The sequence below is a fragment of the Homo sapiens genome, chromosome 9 (genome assembly GCF_000001405.40).
Source record: "Homo sapiens chromosome 9, GRCh38.p14 Primary Assembly".
Lineage (NCBI taxonomy): Eukaryota > Metazoa > Chordata > Mammalia > Primates > Hominidae > Homo > Homo sapiens.
Genome location: NC_000009.12, coordinates 85,984,037 through 86,002,440, shown reverse-complemented (window position 1 = coordinate 86,002,440; position 18,404 = coordinate 85,984,037). Strand labels below are relative to the sequence as shown.

General features: G+C 38.6%; 1 protein-coding gene across 7 annotated transcripts in view; it reads right to left on the bottom strand.

Moving 5' to 3' along the window:
- NAA35 (N-alpha-acetyltransferase 35, NatC auxiliary subunit) overlaps positions 1 to 18,404 on the bottom strand; it is an 84,317-nt gene that overhangs the window by 23,022 nt on the left and 42,891 nt on the right. For all 7 annotated transcript variants that reach the window (XM_005252127.5, NM_024635.4, NM_001321881.2 and 4 more), the window contains one exon: positions 5,864 to 6,042. In XM_005252127.5, the coding sequence (XP_005252184.1) occupies positions 5,864 to 6,042 (179 nt within the window). The remainder of the gene's footprint in view (positions 1 to 5,863; positions 6,043 to 18,404) is intronic.

Below are 18,404 nucleotides of genomic sequence, written 5' to 3'. Positions count from 1 at the left end.
GGGTATTGTTCGTGAAAACTTCCCCAACTTTGCTAGAGAAGCCAACATTCAAATTCAGGAAATACAGAGAAGTCCTGCAAGATTCTACACAAGCAGATCATCCCCAAAACATAAAATCCTCAGGTTTTCCAAAGCCGAAATGAAACAAATGTTAAAGGCAGCTACAAAGAAAGGGCGAGTAACCTAAAAAGGGATCCCCATCAGGCTAAAAAGGAGACCTCTCAGCTGAAACCCTACAAGAAGAAATTGGGGTCCTATATTCAACATTCTTTTAAAAATCTTCAACCAAGAATTTCATATCCCACCAAACTAACCTTCCTAAGTGAAGGAGAAATAAGATCCTTTTCAGATAAGCAAATGTTGAGGGACTTCATTACCACCAGTCCTACCTTACAAGAGGATCTTGAAAGGAGCCCTAAATATAGAAAGGAAAGACTACTACCAGCTAATACAAAAACACACTTAAACACACAGACTAGTGTCACTATAAAGCAACCACAAAAACAAGCCAACATAATAACCAGCTAACACCATAATGACAGGATCAAATCCACACATATCATACTAACCTGAATGTAAACGGGCTAAATGGCCCACTTAAGAAACAGAGTGACAAGCTGGATAAAAAAGCAAGACGTACTGATGTGCTGTCTTCAAGAGACTCATCTCACACATAATGACACTCATAGGCTCAAAATAAAGGGATGGAGGAAAATCTTCCAAGCAAATGGAAAACAGAAAAAAGCAGGGGTTGCAATCCTAATTTCAGACAAAACAGATTTCACACCAACAAAGATCAAATAAGACAAGGAAGGGTATTACATAAGGGTAAAGGGTTCAATTCAACAAGAAAACCTAACTATCCTAAATATATATGCACCCAGATTCCTAAAGCAAGTTCTTACAGACCTACAAAGAGACACAGACTCCCACATAACAACAGTGGGAGACTTCAACACTCCAATGACAGTATTAGATGGATCATCGAGACAAAAAATTAACAAAGATATTCAGGACCTGAACTCAGCACTGGACCAAATGGATTTGATAGACCTTTACAGAAGTCTCCACCCAAAAACAACAGAATATACAACCTTCTCATCACCACATGGCACATACTCTAATATCGACCACATAATTGGACATAAAATACTCAACAAATGTAAAAGAACTGAAGTCATACCAAACATACTCTTGGACCACAGCGTAATAAAAATAAAAGTCGACACAATGAAAATCGCTCAAAACCATGCAATTACATGTGAATTAAAAAACATCCTCCTGAATGCCTTTTGGGTAAATAATGAAATTAAGGCAGAAATCAAGAAGTTCTTTGAAAATAATGAGAACAAAGATACAACATACCAAAATCTCTAGGACACAGCTAAAGCAGTGTTAAGAACGAAATTCATAGCATGTAATGCCCACATCAAAAAGTTAGAAAGATCTCAAACAACCTAACTTCACAACTGAAAGAATCAGAGAAACCAAGAACAAAAAAATCTCCAAGCTAGCAGAAGGCAAGGACTAACAAAAATCAGAGGTGAACTGAGGGAAATCAAGACATGAAAACCCATTCAAAAGATCAACAAATCTTGCTATTAGTTTTTTGAAAAAAAATAAAATAGGCCACCAGCTAGACTAAGAAGAAATGGGAGAAGACCCAAATAAACACAATTAGAAATGATGAAGGGAATGTTACTACTGACCCCAAAGAAATAAAAACAACCATCAGAAACTACTATGAACATCTCTACACATACAAACTAGAAAACCTAGAAGAGATGGATAAATTCCTGGACACATACACCCTCCCAAGACTGAGCCAGGAAGAAACTGATTCCCTGAACAGACCAATAATGAGCTCCAAAACTGAATCAGTAATAAATAACCTACCAACCAAAAAAAAAAGGCCAGGACGTGATGGATTCACAGGTGAATTCTACCAGATGTACAAAGAAGAGCTGGTACCATTCCTACAGAAACTATTGCAAAAAACTGAGGAGGGACTTCTCCCCAACTCCTTCTATGAGGCTAGCATCATCTTGATACCAAAACCTGGTAGAGACTCAACAAAAAAAGAAGACTTCAGGCCAATATCTTTGATTAATATCGATGCAAAAATCCTCAACAAAGTACTTGCAAATCGAATCCAGCAGCACATCAAAAAGCTAATTCACCATGATCAAGTAGGCTGCATCCCTGGGATGCAAGGTTGTTTCAACATACAAAAAAATCAATAAATGTGATTCATCACATAAACAGAACTAAAGACAAAAATCACATGATTATCTCAATAGATGCAGAAAAGCCTTCTGATAAAATTTAACATCCCTTCATGTTACACTCTCAATAAACTAGGTATTGAAGGACCACACCTCAAAACAATAAGAGTCCAAGGCAGGCCAAGTGTTTATTTATGTAAGAAACCTTCACATGTACCCTCAAATGTAAAATTTTTTTAAAGAAATTTATCTAAAAAATGAAAAGATATGGGTTTATATGTAGATATAAAACCAGATGACAAAATACACCGAAATGCTAACATCTACAGAGTGTGGGACAGCAGTTATTTATCATCTTCACAGTTCTCTGCATCTTCCAAATTTTATAGTTAAATAATAATGTATGTATTTTAATATTTGGACTTGGATTTGTTAAGGAGAACTGCTTGGGACAGCAGCTCTTCAGAAACCAAAATCAGAATAAATGCCTATTCGGGCATCTATCTGATCAAGCTCTTTATTAAGAAATCCTGCAGCTTGCTGAGAAAATTCTAAAGGATCACTGACAATGCCTCAGCTACCTATCCTTGGTTAGAACCAGTGTGGGTCCCCCTAAGGTACCTGGAATGGGCCATGGTTTCCTCAGAGGGTTCAGTGAAATTGACCAACAATAATGGCAGACAACTTAGCCTTCAATATCAGGAGCCTGTCACAACCCAAGTCAGCCCTGTTGCTTACTAAAAAAATTATTTTAAAGTCCATTTGCTTACCAATACAACTGGTAAAACAACTATATACATTAAAAGCATATTACCTTATGGTTGACATGGGTTTACAGGTTGATTTTACTTAAAGACCTTGCAATTAATCTAGTGAACACAAATGTATATTCATGTAACAATTAAGATCAAAAAAGTCAATGTGGCAGAAGAGAATAAGAAAATATCTATTCTCATTCCAGATATGCTACTATAGTCATCTAATTTGGTTACTTTAGAACGTCTGAACCTTAGTTTGTTTAACTGTAAAACTGTCTTTCTATGATCTTTTTCCTAGGAACTTTTAAAATTCTGATTCTTATGACAGAATAAGAGCAATCTAATAAGAAAGCAAATGCAACAGAAGGTATTAAAGGCATAATCAGTGAAAGTTTTACTAAGGAATGAAGACTTAAGCTGGGTTTTAATGACAAAGAATTAATAGAAGGAAAAATAAAGAACATAAACAAAAGCACAAATCTTTACTATCAACTATTTCCCAGAGACTGCTGCTAAATGCTGGGAGTATAAACTATATACTGTGTGAGCTCAAGGAACACAGGTACAGTGGCAACCAGCAACCAAAGGGGAAGATTTCACAGAGAAAATGACATGGGGCTGACAATTCCACACCTCAGTGTGTAAGGTAACAACACTCAAATGCCTAGCTATGCCACAGATGTTAGTGTACTTATGTCCTAAGAACAACAGTACTGTCTTGCACATTTTCTACCTTTCCTACTAACCTTACATGTGCTACTATAATCCTACCAATTAAAAAGCTTTTCTGCTGTCAGTGGGTACAGGAGAGAAAAACAAAAAACAAAAAAAAGCTCCATCTCTGAATGTTCTTAAAATGAGCCTTGTTTTTCTATATTTTAACCCATAAAAAATATTAATCCAAAATATGATAGTTAAAAGTGTACCTAGCAGCTTCATTTTTTAGGAATTTATCTTAAGGGGAAAGGAAGCATACAATAAAAAGAGTTACCTATAAATATATTCATCTTAGTATTGTTTGTAACACTGAAAATGACCTAAATGTAATTTAATATGAAATTTAAAAAACTGTAATATATGCTTAAAATGGAATACCACACAGCCATTAAAATAATGTAGAATTTGTCATGTATTTGTTGACATGAAAAGGAAGATGTTCATGATACAGAGACAAGCAATTTTAAAAAGCAGGTTACCAAACACCATGATCCCATTTTTACATGTAAAACTATATACACACTTAAGGCCGGGCACAGTGGCTCATGCCTGTAATCCCAGCATTTTCGGAGGCCAAGGTGGGTGGATCACGAGGTCAGGAAATCAAGACCATCCTGGCTAACACGATGAAACCCCGTTTCTACTAAAAATACAAAAAATTAGCTGGGCGTGGTGGCGGACGCCTGTAGTCCCAGCTACTCGGGAGGCTGAGGCAGGAGAATGGCGTGAACCTGGGAGGTGGAGCTTGCAGTGAGCCAAGATCACACCACTGCACTCCAGCCTGGGCGACAGAGTGAGACTCTGTCTCAAAACAAACAAACAAAAAAAATATATACACACACACACATACATAAATATATATGTATGTATGTATGTGTATACCAGCATATATATACACATTTATATGTTTTGAAGACAGAATCCAGAGTTCAATCCCCACTCTTAAAACTAAGGTGAGGCCAAGCACACTGGCCCATGCCTATAATCCTGGCACTTTGGGAGGCCAAGATGGAAGGATTGCTTGAGCCCAAGAGTTCGAGAGCAGCCTGGCCAGCATGGTGAGACCTTGTCTCCACAATAAATAAAAATTTAAAAATTGACCGGGTGCAGTGACTCACACTTGTAATCCCAGCACTTTGGGAGGCCAAAGCAGGTGGATCGCTTGAGTTCAGGAGTTAGAGACCAGCCTGGGCAAAATGGTGAAACCCTGTCTCTACCAAAAATACAAAAAATTAGCCATGCATGGTGGCACACGCTTGCAGTCCCAGCTACTTGGGAGGCTGATGTGGAATGACAGCTTGAGTCTGGCAGGCGGAGGTTGCAGGGAGCTAAGATCACACCACTGCACTCCAGCCTGGGCAACAGAGGGAAACCCCCTATCAAAAAAAAAAAAATTATCCAAGTCTAGTGGCATGTGTCTCTCCCAGCTACTTGGGAGGCTGAAGTGGGAGATCACTTGACCTCAAGAGTTCAAGGCTAGGCAGAGCGCAGTAGCTCACACCTGCAATCCCAGCATTTTGGGAGGCAGAAGTAGGAGGACTGCTTGAACCCAGGAGTTCAACACCAGCCTGGGTAACATAGTGAGACCCCATCTCTACAAAAATAATGATTAAACTAAAACATTGTTGGGCATGGTGGCACACGCCTGTGGTCCCAGCTTCTTGGGAGGCTGAGAGGCAGAAGGATTGCTTGAGCCGAGAAGGTCCAGGCTGCAGTGAGCTGAGATCATGCCACTGCACTCCAATGTAGGTGACAGATCAAGGCCCCCATCTCCACAAAAAAAATTAAAAAAAAAAAAGAGTTTAAGTTCACTTTGAGCCAAGATCACACCACTGTACTCCTGCCTAGACAACAGAGTGAGATCCTGTCTCAAAACAAATCTTGGATGAATTATCTAACCCTTCAACATCGGCTTCTTAATCTCTAAAATAGTGTAAAAGCTTTTGAGGATTAAACAGTATGTATGTATAGTATTTATGAACCACTTAATCCTCTAGCTATCACAGAAAATAGACAAAGAGTAGTATTTACCCTTGGTCAATGTCTATAAAGCAATCAATTATTCTGTTGTTAAACCAAAGTTACCACATAAATATGTACAATTATTATGTATCAATTTTTTTTAAATGGAAGTTACATTCTGGAACAGAGATTTGTACTTACCAGGATACAATGTAAATTTGTTAAATTCACAACCTCACAGACAGTTTTTATTCTATCTATTAATCTTGCAAAATAGTTCACCATTTCTTCCCTTTTAATTATTTTTGCATATCGAGGGAAGGTAGGTGGAAGTAGCCTCTGGTTCACAAGGGGTTCAAAACCCATCATAATTGGATGATCTAAAAAGAAAAAAATGAAAGTAAAATTTTTCAACTTTTCTCTGAATTTTAAACTGCAAATGTTATTAAATATAAAAATGCCAGTTTAAAAAGCTTTTCCAAACAAATTCTAACCACAAAATCCTCTAAATAGATTTTATAATTTAGAATATATCTATACATATACATTTTTTAAAAACTAAACAAGTAGATTTAATAACCTAAAACTGTACCTCCTACCTACATGGTGGTGATAGTGGTGATGGAGGGGAGTTTCTATGTCAAAATGAACTCAAAGAAAAAACTCTGAGGATAAAATAGGGTCAGTATATTCTTTCAAAACAGAGGAAATGATACATTAACCATGAGATTGTGAAGAAAGGTAAAATGGGAACACAAATAATATAAGCTTCTCTTCCCCTCAATTACTAAACAGTAGAATCCATTCAAACTTAGCTATATAATAATCCTGAATAGCAGAGCAGAGCAGCACTGCCCTCAACCCTCAATGAGCCCAAAATGCATTTGGAACAGAGATGTAATTACAGAAATCCACAATATTTTAAAGACAGTATTGTAAGACACCTAAGAGTGAGTTCCTCTTTCTTCTCTGTCCACTGGTGATCTCACTTTTCACACTAGTGCATAGCTCCAAACTAAGTCTTTCTCAACTTGAAATCTCAAATGAGGGAGTATATCGCTAAAATGATACATGAATAAGAATTTTTTATTCAAAGTTCTCCTGCTAGTCTACAAACTGGCCACAACCTAAGAAAAAATATGGTTTCAGATGCCAATTAAAGATAAAATTAAAGCTGAATAGCTGTTGTTATTAAGAATTAAAAGCAAGACTGACAACCATATTATAATGCCCCTGAGATATATAAACCATAATTGTTCTTTAGGACCACGCAAATAAAGATGTTCTCAAGGTTCTTGGTCTTTTTCCTCTTCTCTGTATTTTCTCCCTAAGCAACTGGTTGATGTTACTTATTCTAATATAAATTGTGATTTAAATTATTCCAAACTAAAATCTTTAGCCTACAATCCTTCTTAGTTCCAAATCCCATCTCAAATAAAAAATAATTTTTTATTTTAAATAAATAAAATAAAATAATTTAAATAATTATTTTAAATAAATAAATTTTAAAAATTAAAAATAAATAAATTGCTAAAAATCACTCAGTACAAGAGGGCCAAATAAGATTATCTTCCCTTCAACTAGCACTCTCTTAAAATAATAAAGTATAACTGATATTTTCAAAACATTATGATACATGGGTTTAAACTGTTGAGGTACTACAATTCCTGTTAGGTCACTGGTCTTCATTACTAATAACAGAAAAGTATTACCAATAGCACATGGTCATTACATAATAATTTTTTCTTTTTTAAAAACTGATGTATGATAGTTGTTATGTATTTTTGTGGTATATGTGATATTTTGATACATGTACACAATGTGTAATAATCAAATCAGGGTAATTAGGATATCTGTCACTTCAAACGTTTCTCTCTTCTTTGTACTGGTAACATTCCAATTCTCTGCTAGCTATTCTGAAATATACAACAAAATATTAACTATAGTCTCCCTTCTGTACTATCAAATAATAGAACATATTTCATCTATCTAACTATTTTTGCACCCATTAACCAACTTCTCTTTACCTTCCCCTTCCCCCCGGATAAAAGATTTATGGTAACAAGTACTTTGGTTTTACTGAGCAAAGTAAGTTATTCTAAAAGTAAATCAGATGTCAAAATTAAAGATCTGGAAATGTATTAGTCAAGAGAGACACTATATTATTTATTCAACATATTTTCCAGAGTTACATAGGCAATTTATAGTCAGGTTTATTAAAATAACGAGTTTTGGCTGCCCTTAAATTGGAAGGAATTCTGGAAAACAACATAAAAGCTGCTGAGCTTTGGTTATGTTATTCTGCACTCCTTGGCTATTTTATTTCCTTTTACAAAAAGTTGTAGAATTATACTAAGCCAGACACAAAAGGACAAGTATTGCATAATATCACTTGTATGAGGGACCTAGAACAGTGAAATTCAGACAGAGAATAATGGCCGTGAGGGTTTGTGGGGAGGAGGGAACTGGGAGTTCATGTTTAAGGGGTAGAGTTCCAGTTTAGAACATAAAGTTCTGGAGACAGTGGTGATAGTTGCACAGCAATGTGGATGTAATTAATGCTAGTGAATTGTATACTTAAAATGGTTAAAATGGTAAGCTTTACGTTTTATTTAACCAAAATGTTACAAAATAGTATTAAAACACAACTGTTAAACTCAAGGCATGGCCTCAATAAATATTATACCCTAGTCATTGGTGAGAGTAACCTAGGATGTAATATCATACAAATCTACGTATCTAATACTGTTTAGCATATATTTTTAAACAGGTAAAACCCAGTCACTACAAAAAAAAAAAAAAATTAGCCGGGTGTCCTGGCTCATGCCTGTAGTCCTGGCTACTGGGGAGGCTGAGATGGGAGGACAGCTTGAGTACAGGACGATGAGGCTGTAGTGAGCCGTGACTGCATCACTGCATTCCAGCCTGGGTGACAGAGTGAGACCCTATCTAATAGATGCAAAGGGTTTTTTGAAAATCTCATTCTTACCACTGAGTTTAAGAGAAAAAAAAGCCATCCACTTGTGATCCCCGGTTTATCTCTGGAGAAATAACCACAACTACAAGTTTCTTCCACGTGTGGGAGAAACTTCCCTTTTCTAATTTTATTGAGGCGCAATTCACATACAATACAAACATTAAATGTACAGTTCAATGGTCTGAAAAATATGTACAACCATGTAACTACCACAATCAACAAAAAGAACGTTTTTACCACCCCGAAAGGTTTTTTTGTGCAATTTCTCAGTCTATCACTCCAATGCTCAGTAACCAAGGAACTTCTTCCTGTCCCTATGGATTAGCCTTTCCTAGCCGGACATGGTGGCTCACACCTGTAATCGCAGCACTTTGGGAGGCCAAGGTGGGCAGATCACTTGAGGGAGTTCAAGACCAGCCTGGCCAACAGGGTGAAACCCCATCTCTACTAAAAACACAAAAATTAGCCAGGTGTGGTGGTGTACGCCTGTAATCCCAGCTACCCAGGAGGCTGAGGTGGGAGAATCATTTGAACCTGGCAGGCAAAGGTTGCAGTAAGCTTAGATTGCGCCACTGCACCCCAGTCTGGGTGACAGAGTGAAACTCGGTCTCAAAAACAAGATTAGCCTTTCCTACTTTTAAACAAACAAAACAATCAGACAATTTGTACTCATTTATATCTGACTTCTTTGGCTCAACATAATGTTTCCAAGATTTATCCATTATGTTGCATGTATCAGTATTTCATTCCATTATAATATCCATTGTGTAGATATATCATAACTTATCCATTCACATATCAAAAGCACCAACATATTATTGATCTATTTTGCTTTGAGGTAAGCTTTTTTCTTTTGAAACAATCTCAAAAGTTCCAAGCACAGTCAATAGTAAACCACCCTCAAGTATGTTTAGAGTGTTATTCCTACAAAGACATAGTCTTACATAATCACAATACAGCCATCAGAATTAGAAAACTAACACTGAGCAACTACTATCACCTAATCCTCACACTTCATTCAAGTTTCACAAACTTCTTCATAACCATGTCAACTGCATTTAATTTCACTGCCTCTTATTCTCCTTCAGTCTGACACAGTTCTTCAGTCTTTCCTTGACTTCCATGACACTGACATCTTTGAAGACTAACAGACCAGTAATTCTGTATACTGCCTTCCAATGTGGATTGTCTTGCTTCCTCATGATCAGATTCATATTATGAATCTTTGGAATATTACAGAATTAATGTTATATTCTCATTGCACACTATCAGCAAAATGAGGATCTTACTACTGGTGATGTGAACTTTAATCACTTGATTAAGGTGTATCCAACAGGCCTCTTCATTGTAGTTACTCCCTTTCCCTTTGAAATTAATAAGTATTTGGGGGTTGGGGGGACACTCATATAAATATTTTCATCAAACTGTCCATTTCATTTATTTATATCAGGGTAGAATAATGGCTTTATCTTTTATTCAATAAGTTATGATCTGTCAGAATTATTTACTTTGATGCTTAAGTTTTTGCTAATTTTGACCACGTGAGATCCCCTTCAAGTTCTTTTCTATATCCAACTGATATGTTCCTATTATTTTATTCATTTATTTTTTATTATTTTTTTTTTTTTGAGACGGAGTCTTGCTCTGTTGCCCAGGCTGGAGTGCAGTGGCACAATCTTGGCTCACTGCAAGCTCTGCGTCCTGGGTTCACGCCATTCCCCTGCCTCAGCCTCCTGAGTAGCTGGGACTACAGGCGCCCGCCACCACACCCGGCTGTTTTTTTGTAGTTTTAGTAGAGACGGGGTTTCACCGCGTTAGCCAGGATAGTCTTGATCTCCTGACCTCGTGATCCGCCTGCCTTGGCCTCCCAAAGTGCTGGGATTACAGGTGTGAGCCACCACGCCCGGCCCATCCACCTCTTTTAGAAGGACACTTATGATATTTGGGTACAGCCAGACAATCCATGATCACCCCCTCATCACAAGACCCTTAACAATCACATTTATAAAGATCCCTTTCCCAAATAAAGTAATATTTACAGGTTCTGAGAAGTAGAAATAGGACCTTGATAGCTTTGGGACCATCATTCAGTCCACTACAATCTCCTATCATTGACATGTTAGGCCACCATAACCTCCACTCCATTTGGCACTCCTCTAGAGATGCTCTCCTCACCCCATCTAAGCTCTGATACCCCACAACAGGCCACCTTTCTGCACAGAAGCTTTTCATCAGTGTGCTTAGGCTACAACTTCCCACATGGAGCCACCTTTCTACTTTTCTCTTCCTGCTTAGGCTTTGACATCTCATGCCATCCAGTCCTCCTGGACAGCCTCTTCCCCCCACTTATGATCTGACACCCCATACCTGGGAAACCTTCCACAATGACACCTTTTTCAACATGCTTAGGCTCTGAAACCCTGTACTTGGTCACCCACATGCACAGATGCCCTCATTACCTGGCTTGGTCTCTGACAGCCCTGCACACAACCACCTCCATGAATTTACCTCAGGTTTCACCACCCTACTCTGCCAGGCTCCATTAACATGAGCCTACCCTGCCTGGACTCCCACACCCCATGCCTCTCTCTACTCCCTGCCTTTATACTCCAAAACCCTGTACTAGACTGCCTTCCCATAGACACACCCTCCTCATCCTACTTAGGCTCCTGACATACAGTGCCAGGTTGTTCCCACATGGTCCCCTTCTCAATCCTGCTTAGGCTCAGGCACCCCAAGCTCAGCTACACTCCTGTGGAAATACCCTTCTCCACTCACTTTAGAAGCAGTGAATCCAGTTAGGCTACCGATTCACAGTGATGCTCTCAAGGTATCTTGAACTATTCCAAACTCCTGCTCTAGGTTTATCTCTTTGCAGATGCCCTCCCCATTCCACTACCATTCTACATGGACACTTCCTTACTCCACACAGACTCTGATGGCCCATGCTAGGCCTCACCCTGCTACAAGTACACTCCACCTACCCACATGGTTACAACACCTTATGTCAGGCTACTCCTATCTCCCATGTGGACACCATCATCATCCCTAAGGCAGGCTCCAAAGTCTCGCTCTAGCGCACATGCCCATTGTGCTCAGGCCCATCTCATGGCATTAGGAGTGAATTTTTTCAAGAAGAGAAGGAAAGAAGAGCAAGAATCAGAACTGAGTTTTGTTATCACTAAATTGGAAATACATGGTTCCCTTTGTTATCTTTAAGATCATTCATTCTTTGCTGTATTTTCCTTCTGATAATTGAGAAGTCTTTTATTAATTTTGTATCTACAACTTTATTAATATCTCTAAAGTTCTATTCCTTCAGAAAGGTAGCTGTTAATCTTCTTACCAATAATAAACAATGATAATGCTAAAGACCTCCCTTTACCTTCCTTTGGTCATTGCTATGGTTTGGATGTGTTTTCGTCCCCACCAAAATTCAAGTTGAAGTTTAATTGCCAGTACAACAGTGTTGAGAGATGGGGCCTAACAGGAGGTGTCTGAGTAAAGGGGGCAGATGTCTCCTAAACAGATTAATGCCTTCTCACTCTCGTGAGACTGGATTAGTTCTCACAGGTACGGATTAGTTCCCATGATAGTGTATTGTTAAAAGGGAGGTTCTTTCTGTTTGGTCCCTCTTTCCACATGTCTGCTTAACTTCTCTGCCATGTTTTGACCCAGTGCATGGCCTCACCAGAAGCTGAGCATGCACCATGAATCTTGAAATTCCCAGGCTGCAGAACCATGAGCTAAGTAAACCTCTTTTAAAATAAATCACCCAGTCTCAGGAACTCTGTTACAGCAACACAAAATGAACTACGACAAGCACCAAACTTGAATAATCTTATCTCTATCGCCATTGGTTACCTCCACATGTTGAAATATACCTATCTTTATATTACAGATGATTTCTCAGCTTTAACCAGTATCTCTGGACCCCTGCATATAAAAGAAAATTAGTCTTCCCCGTTACTTCCTGACTTTGGTTAATTACTTTTATATTGTCAAGATTCTTGACAGTTATGTTACATTATATTTAGTAAAACCAATTTCCACCGTTTTAACCACAGTTCTACAATGAAACAGAATCAATGCTCAATGCCTGTCCTTCTGCCACAGCTTTTCCATTTATGTCTCAGTAGGCTGAATTTCATTCCTGATTTCAGTCTTTCTCCTCCAGGAAAAAGGTCTTTGGAAAAATATTCCAAGTTCTTGCTAGTTTAAAAATATTTCTACGAGTGTCACTCAAAGACCTTTGGAATGGGTGTAAAACTCTTAGGTCACAGTTTTTTTGTTTTGTCTTTGTTTTTTTTTGTTTGTTTGTTTTTTGTTTTTTGACAGAGTCTCACTCTGTCACCCAGGCTGAAGTACAATGCTGCGATCTCAGCTCACCATAACCTCTGCCTCCTGGGTTCAAGCGATTCTCCTGCCTCAACCTCCCGAGCAGCTGGGATTACAGGCGCCCACTACCACGCCCAGCTAATTTTTCTATTTTTATTACAGACAGGGTTTCCCCATGTTGGTCAGGCTGGTCTCAAACTCCTGACCTCATGATCCGCCCACCTTGGCCTCCCAAAGTGCTGGGATTACAGGCGTGAGCCACCACGCCCAGCAGGTCACAGTTCTTTACTTGAGGACTTTGAAGATATTGTTACACTACTTTCTGTGTTGATGTTGATGTGAAGAACCATGAAGCCAATATAATAGTTGCTTTAGATCTTAATTTACTAGGCTCTATTTTACTATTAATAATTCTTTATCAATTTATCCTGGAACACATTATACTCTTTCAATGGACACTCATGGATTTAATTCTAGTTTCTTCTAGAAATGTCTAACATTTTTTTCTGTTCCATTATACTGTTCACATCTTAAGGGACGCCAATCATATGTATACTGAGACTTCTTTTGCTATTACTTTCTCATCATACTTCACATCTCCTTTGCTCACTTCTGCTTCGCTTAGTTTTTTCCTCAATCCTGACCTCCATGTCCTTTTTTTTTTTTCGAGACGGAGTTTCACTCTTGTTGCCCAGACTGGAGTGCAATGGCGTGATCTCGGCTCACTGCAACCTCCGCCTCCCAGGTTCAAGCGATTCTCCTGACTCAGCCTCCTGAGTAGCTGGGACTACAGGCATGCACCACCACAGCTAATTTTGTATTTTTAGTAGAGATGGGGATTTCCCCATGTTGGTCAGACTGGTCTCAAACTCCCGACCTCAGGTGATCTGCCTGCCTCGGCCTCCCAAAGTGCTGGGATTACAGGCGTAAGCCACCACGCCCGGCCCTCCATGTCCTTTACGGCTTTTCAGCAATGTCTAGAATGCTTTTGCTATTTTCAATGAGATCTCTCAGGATTTTTCTCTTCTACTGCTTTCCTGAACTCTGCCTGGTCACTTTTACTCCCTTTCTATTATTCATTACTTCTTCTTTTAGTCTTAATATTTTCGCTTTCTGCTCTTGTTCTATAGAGGCCATTTTTAAATAAATTCTTTCAATTTCTGTACAAAAGTGTTTCTGAGCAGTGTTTTTCATCTGCTTCTTTTCTTGGAATATTTGTGTATAAATACTATGCAGTTTCTTTTTTGATTATGATATCACTGAAGGAGTGCTTCTTGAACCAGTTTTTTGAGTGAGGTGTTAGAATAGCACTCTAGGCTAGCTGGAGGCCTCATTGACTTTCCTTAAGCCACATGTGATGTGCCCGTGTGCATGTGTTTCTTTTACTGACACAAAGATTACCAGTTAACTAGACTACTAAAACATCAACAGCATCTCCTCTATCTTGCAGCAGAAACCAAGACAGTACATGTGCATGTTTTCTGGCAGAGCCCCACCTCCTTTGCCTTTCCAAGGTATTATTCACATAGTTTAACACAGTCAGCTTGTGTACTCCACACCTGTGATTATTCCAAGAGAATCCCTAGTTTTTTCCCTTCAAGTTTTGTCAACTTCTTGTGAGAACACTGTCCTTTGCAGGTCTACTTATGTTTACACTAAGAAAATCTATCCATTCTCAATGTTCTCCCTCTCCTGGGTCCCATTCTATTTTGATTCTGGTTATAAGTGTTCCCTATTTTTTAAGACACTGGAAAGATTCTATTTCTCATATTCCTTACAGATTTTGGCTGGTTTTAGAGAGTAGAAACATCAGAGCCATCTTCACAGTACCATCCCCAAACTAGAAATCCTCTAGATTAGATACACACAAGCACACATGTGTGGGTATGCACGGACTTTTTTAAAAACAGAAAAAATTTTGAACTAAAAGAATAAACATCTCAAGCTCCTGGCACTAGCACATCATGGCCTAGTACTCTCTAACGGCTTGTGATTTTAAAATGAAGTCAGCTCTACCTCTGTTGCACAATACACTGCCATGGTGGGCAAGTTAAGCCGACTGGGTTGTAATAGCATAGTTTTGTCTTTGGCACCAAGGTCAGTAGTCCTCAGGAAGTTAAAGGAGCCATATCACAGATAATGTACCATCATATTCTACATATTTTAATCTATTTTTAATACACACAACATTTTTAACTTTTTTCAGTCACATATGCATGTGGCTCAAGAATCAGTTGAGCAAGGCTTTTATTAAAACCAACAATCAATCCTCTAACCATGTTTTCCACCCAACATGCCTCTCTCCCCAGAGGCAGTCTCTTCCATTTCCTCTTAGTTATCTCTTGTATTTCTTTTTTGGTATTATCTACCTCAAGCTTGTCCCACTTGCAGCCCAGAACAAGTTTGAATGCAGTACAACACTAGTTTGTAAACTTTATTAAAACATTATGAGATTTGTTTTGGTGATTTTTTCTTTTTTTGGCTCATCAGCTCTCATTAGCATATTTTATGTGTGATGCAAGACCAATTCTTCTTCCAGGGTGGCCCTGGGAAGCCAAAAGATTGGACACCCCGGTCAGGCGCAGTGGCTCACGCCTGTAATCCCAGCACTTTGGAAGGCCAAGGAGGGCGGATCACTTGAGGTCAGGAGTTCGAGACCAGCCTGGCCAACATGGTGAAACTCCGTCTCCACTAAAAAAAGAATACAAAAAGTTAGCCGGGCATGGTGACAGGCACCTGTAATTCCAGCTACTCAGGAGGGTGAGGTAAGAGAATCATTTGAACCCGGGAGGCAGAGGTTGCATTGAGCCGAGATCACGCCATTGCACTCCAGCCTAGGCAACAATAGTGAAACTTCGTCTCAAAAAAAAAAGATTGGACACCTCTGATCTACACATTGGCAAAAAACAAGCTTAGAGTACTCCTTCGTTTCTTTTCAGTTTTACACATTATCTCTGACTTCCACCTCCATCTCTAGAAGATGTCAGAGACCTGAAAAGGAGGAAGTCAGAGACAATGTGTAAAACAAAAAACAAGTAGCACTGTAACCACATACAAATTACATGCCTGCACACACTTCTGTCCCCTCACCTACAACACTGTTAGATCATAATTTTGGTTATAATCCATATTCAGCATTTGCACCACTATGATCAAGTAAATAAGTCAGCATTAGCACCACTATGATTTAAGTTATCCATTGCCCCAGATGTGAAAATTTTAATTTTCATATGCATTCTGAAGTTTAATAATTGTCTCATAAGGCTTAATTCAACCCCAAACCATTTGTCAGTTCTCTCAATCTCTTCTGAATACATCAAATGCAACAGTGGTCTTGTATCTTCGAGACATTTTCCCTAGAGCCTTGGGGCTTCCTCCAATCTGGACTTGTCCATACATGGTGCTCAGCTATTATCTTGTGTTTTTCTCCCTTCACCACCATCCTGGGGATTTCCTTCATTATTTTCTTATGATGGATTCTCATTTTCCCTAAACCTCATGCTTCCCTCTTTCTTGATTTATTCCCATGTTTTAATGGAGCACATCTTCCAAAACTTTTGTGAGATAAATTCTGAGACTTTAAGTGCCTGAAATTATCTTTCCTCAAAACTAAATGATGGTTTGTGTCTAGAATTCAACATTAAAAACCATTTCCCCCCAGTCTGAAATCATTTCTCTAGTGATTTTCTTTTACTCACAATTCTAATGAGATATAATTAACATACCACATAACTCACCTATTTAAAGTATACAATTCAATGGTTTTTTTAATACATTAACAGAGTTGTGAAACTATCACAATCAAATTTAGAACATTTTCATCACCCACGAAGAAACTCTATACCCATTAGCAATCACTCTTACCTGCCCATGATTCTTCCCCCAATCCTAGGAAACCACTAATCTACTTTGTCTCTATGGATTTGCCAACTTTGGACATTTTATATAAATGGAAATCATACAATACATGGTCTTTTCTGATTGGATTCTTCCATGTAACACAGTGTTTTAAAGGTCCTTCAGTACTTCATTTCTTTTTGTTGACAAATAATACACCACTACATGGATATACCATTTTATGCATCCATTCATCCACTGATGGACATTTGAGCTATTTTTCCCTTTTGGCTATTATGAATAATGCTGCTATGAGCATTAGTGTATAACTTTTTGTTTGGATGTTTTCATTTCCCTTGGATAATTCTATGTTTAACATTTGAGACACTACCAGACTATCTCCAAGAGAGCTGTATCATTTTATATTCCAATCAGTACTGTATTAGGGCTCCAGTTTCTCCACATCCTTGCCAACACTTTTTATTATCTTTTTTATTAAAGCAATCAAGTGGGTGGGCCGCAGTAACTTTTCATTTTGATTTGCATTTCCCTGAAGACTAATGTTGTTGCACATCTTTTCATGTACTTTTTGTCCATTTGCAAATCTTATCTGGAGAAATGTCTGTTCAAATCTCTTGCCCATTTTTTTATGCAGGTTTGCTTTTTTTAACCTGGGTGTAAGATTAATGCCTATGTTTTAAGAGTTCCATAGCTTTAGTTCTCACATTTAAGTCACTGATCCATTCTGAGTTGACTTTTGCATAAGACCAGCAGGGGTGATGGGGAGTATCCAACTTTATCCTCCGGCATGTGGATATCCAGTTGTCTTAGCATCTTTGATGAAAAGACTTTTCTTTCCTCATTGAATTGTCTTGACACCCTTGTCAAATAGCAACCGAGAACATGAGTGTTCATTTCTGGGCTCTCAATTCTGTTCTATTCCACTGATCTGTATCTATCCAGAACTACACTGTCTTCATTGCTATAGCTTTGAGTAAGTTTTGCTTTAGGAAGTATGATCTTGGTTTTCACTTCATTGACTTCTAATTTCCACTACTGCTGCACATGTGACACTCTGTCTTGATTCTGTGTAACTTGGTTTTGCCTCTTTTCTCTTAGGATCTTCCATTTGTTGCCACTTTTCTAAAGTTTCATAATCATATGCCACCTCAACACAAGTCAATTTTCATTCTGGTGTGCTGGGTGGCTCTTTATTGGCCCTTTCAATCTGAGCATTCATATCATCTGTCTCCAGGAAATTTTCTTACATGTTTGTTTGTTTGTTTGTTTGTTTTAAAAAGACAGGGTCTCTCACTGTCGTCCAGGCTGGAATGCAGTGGTACAATCATAGCTCACTGTAGCCTCAACCTCCTGGGCTCAGGCAATCCTCCCACTTCAATCTCCCGAGTAGCTAGGACTACAAGGCACATGCCACCACACCTGGCTAATTTTTAAATTTTTTGTAGAGATGGGGTCTTGCTATGTTGTACAGGCTGGTTTTGAATTCCTGGCCTCATGCAATCTTCCTACCTTGGCTTCCCAAAGTGCACTGGGATTACAGGCATGGGCTACCACATCCAGTGATTTTTT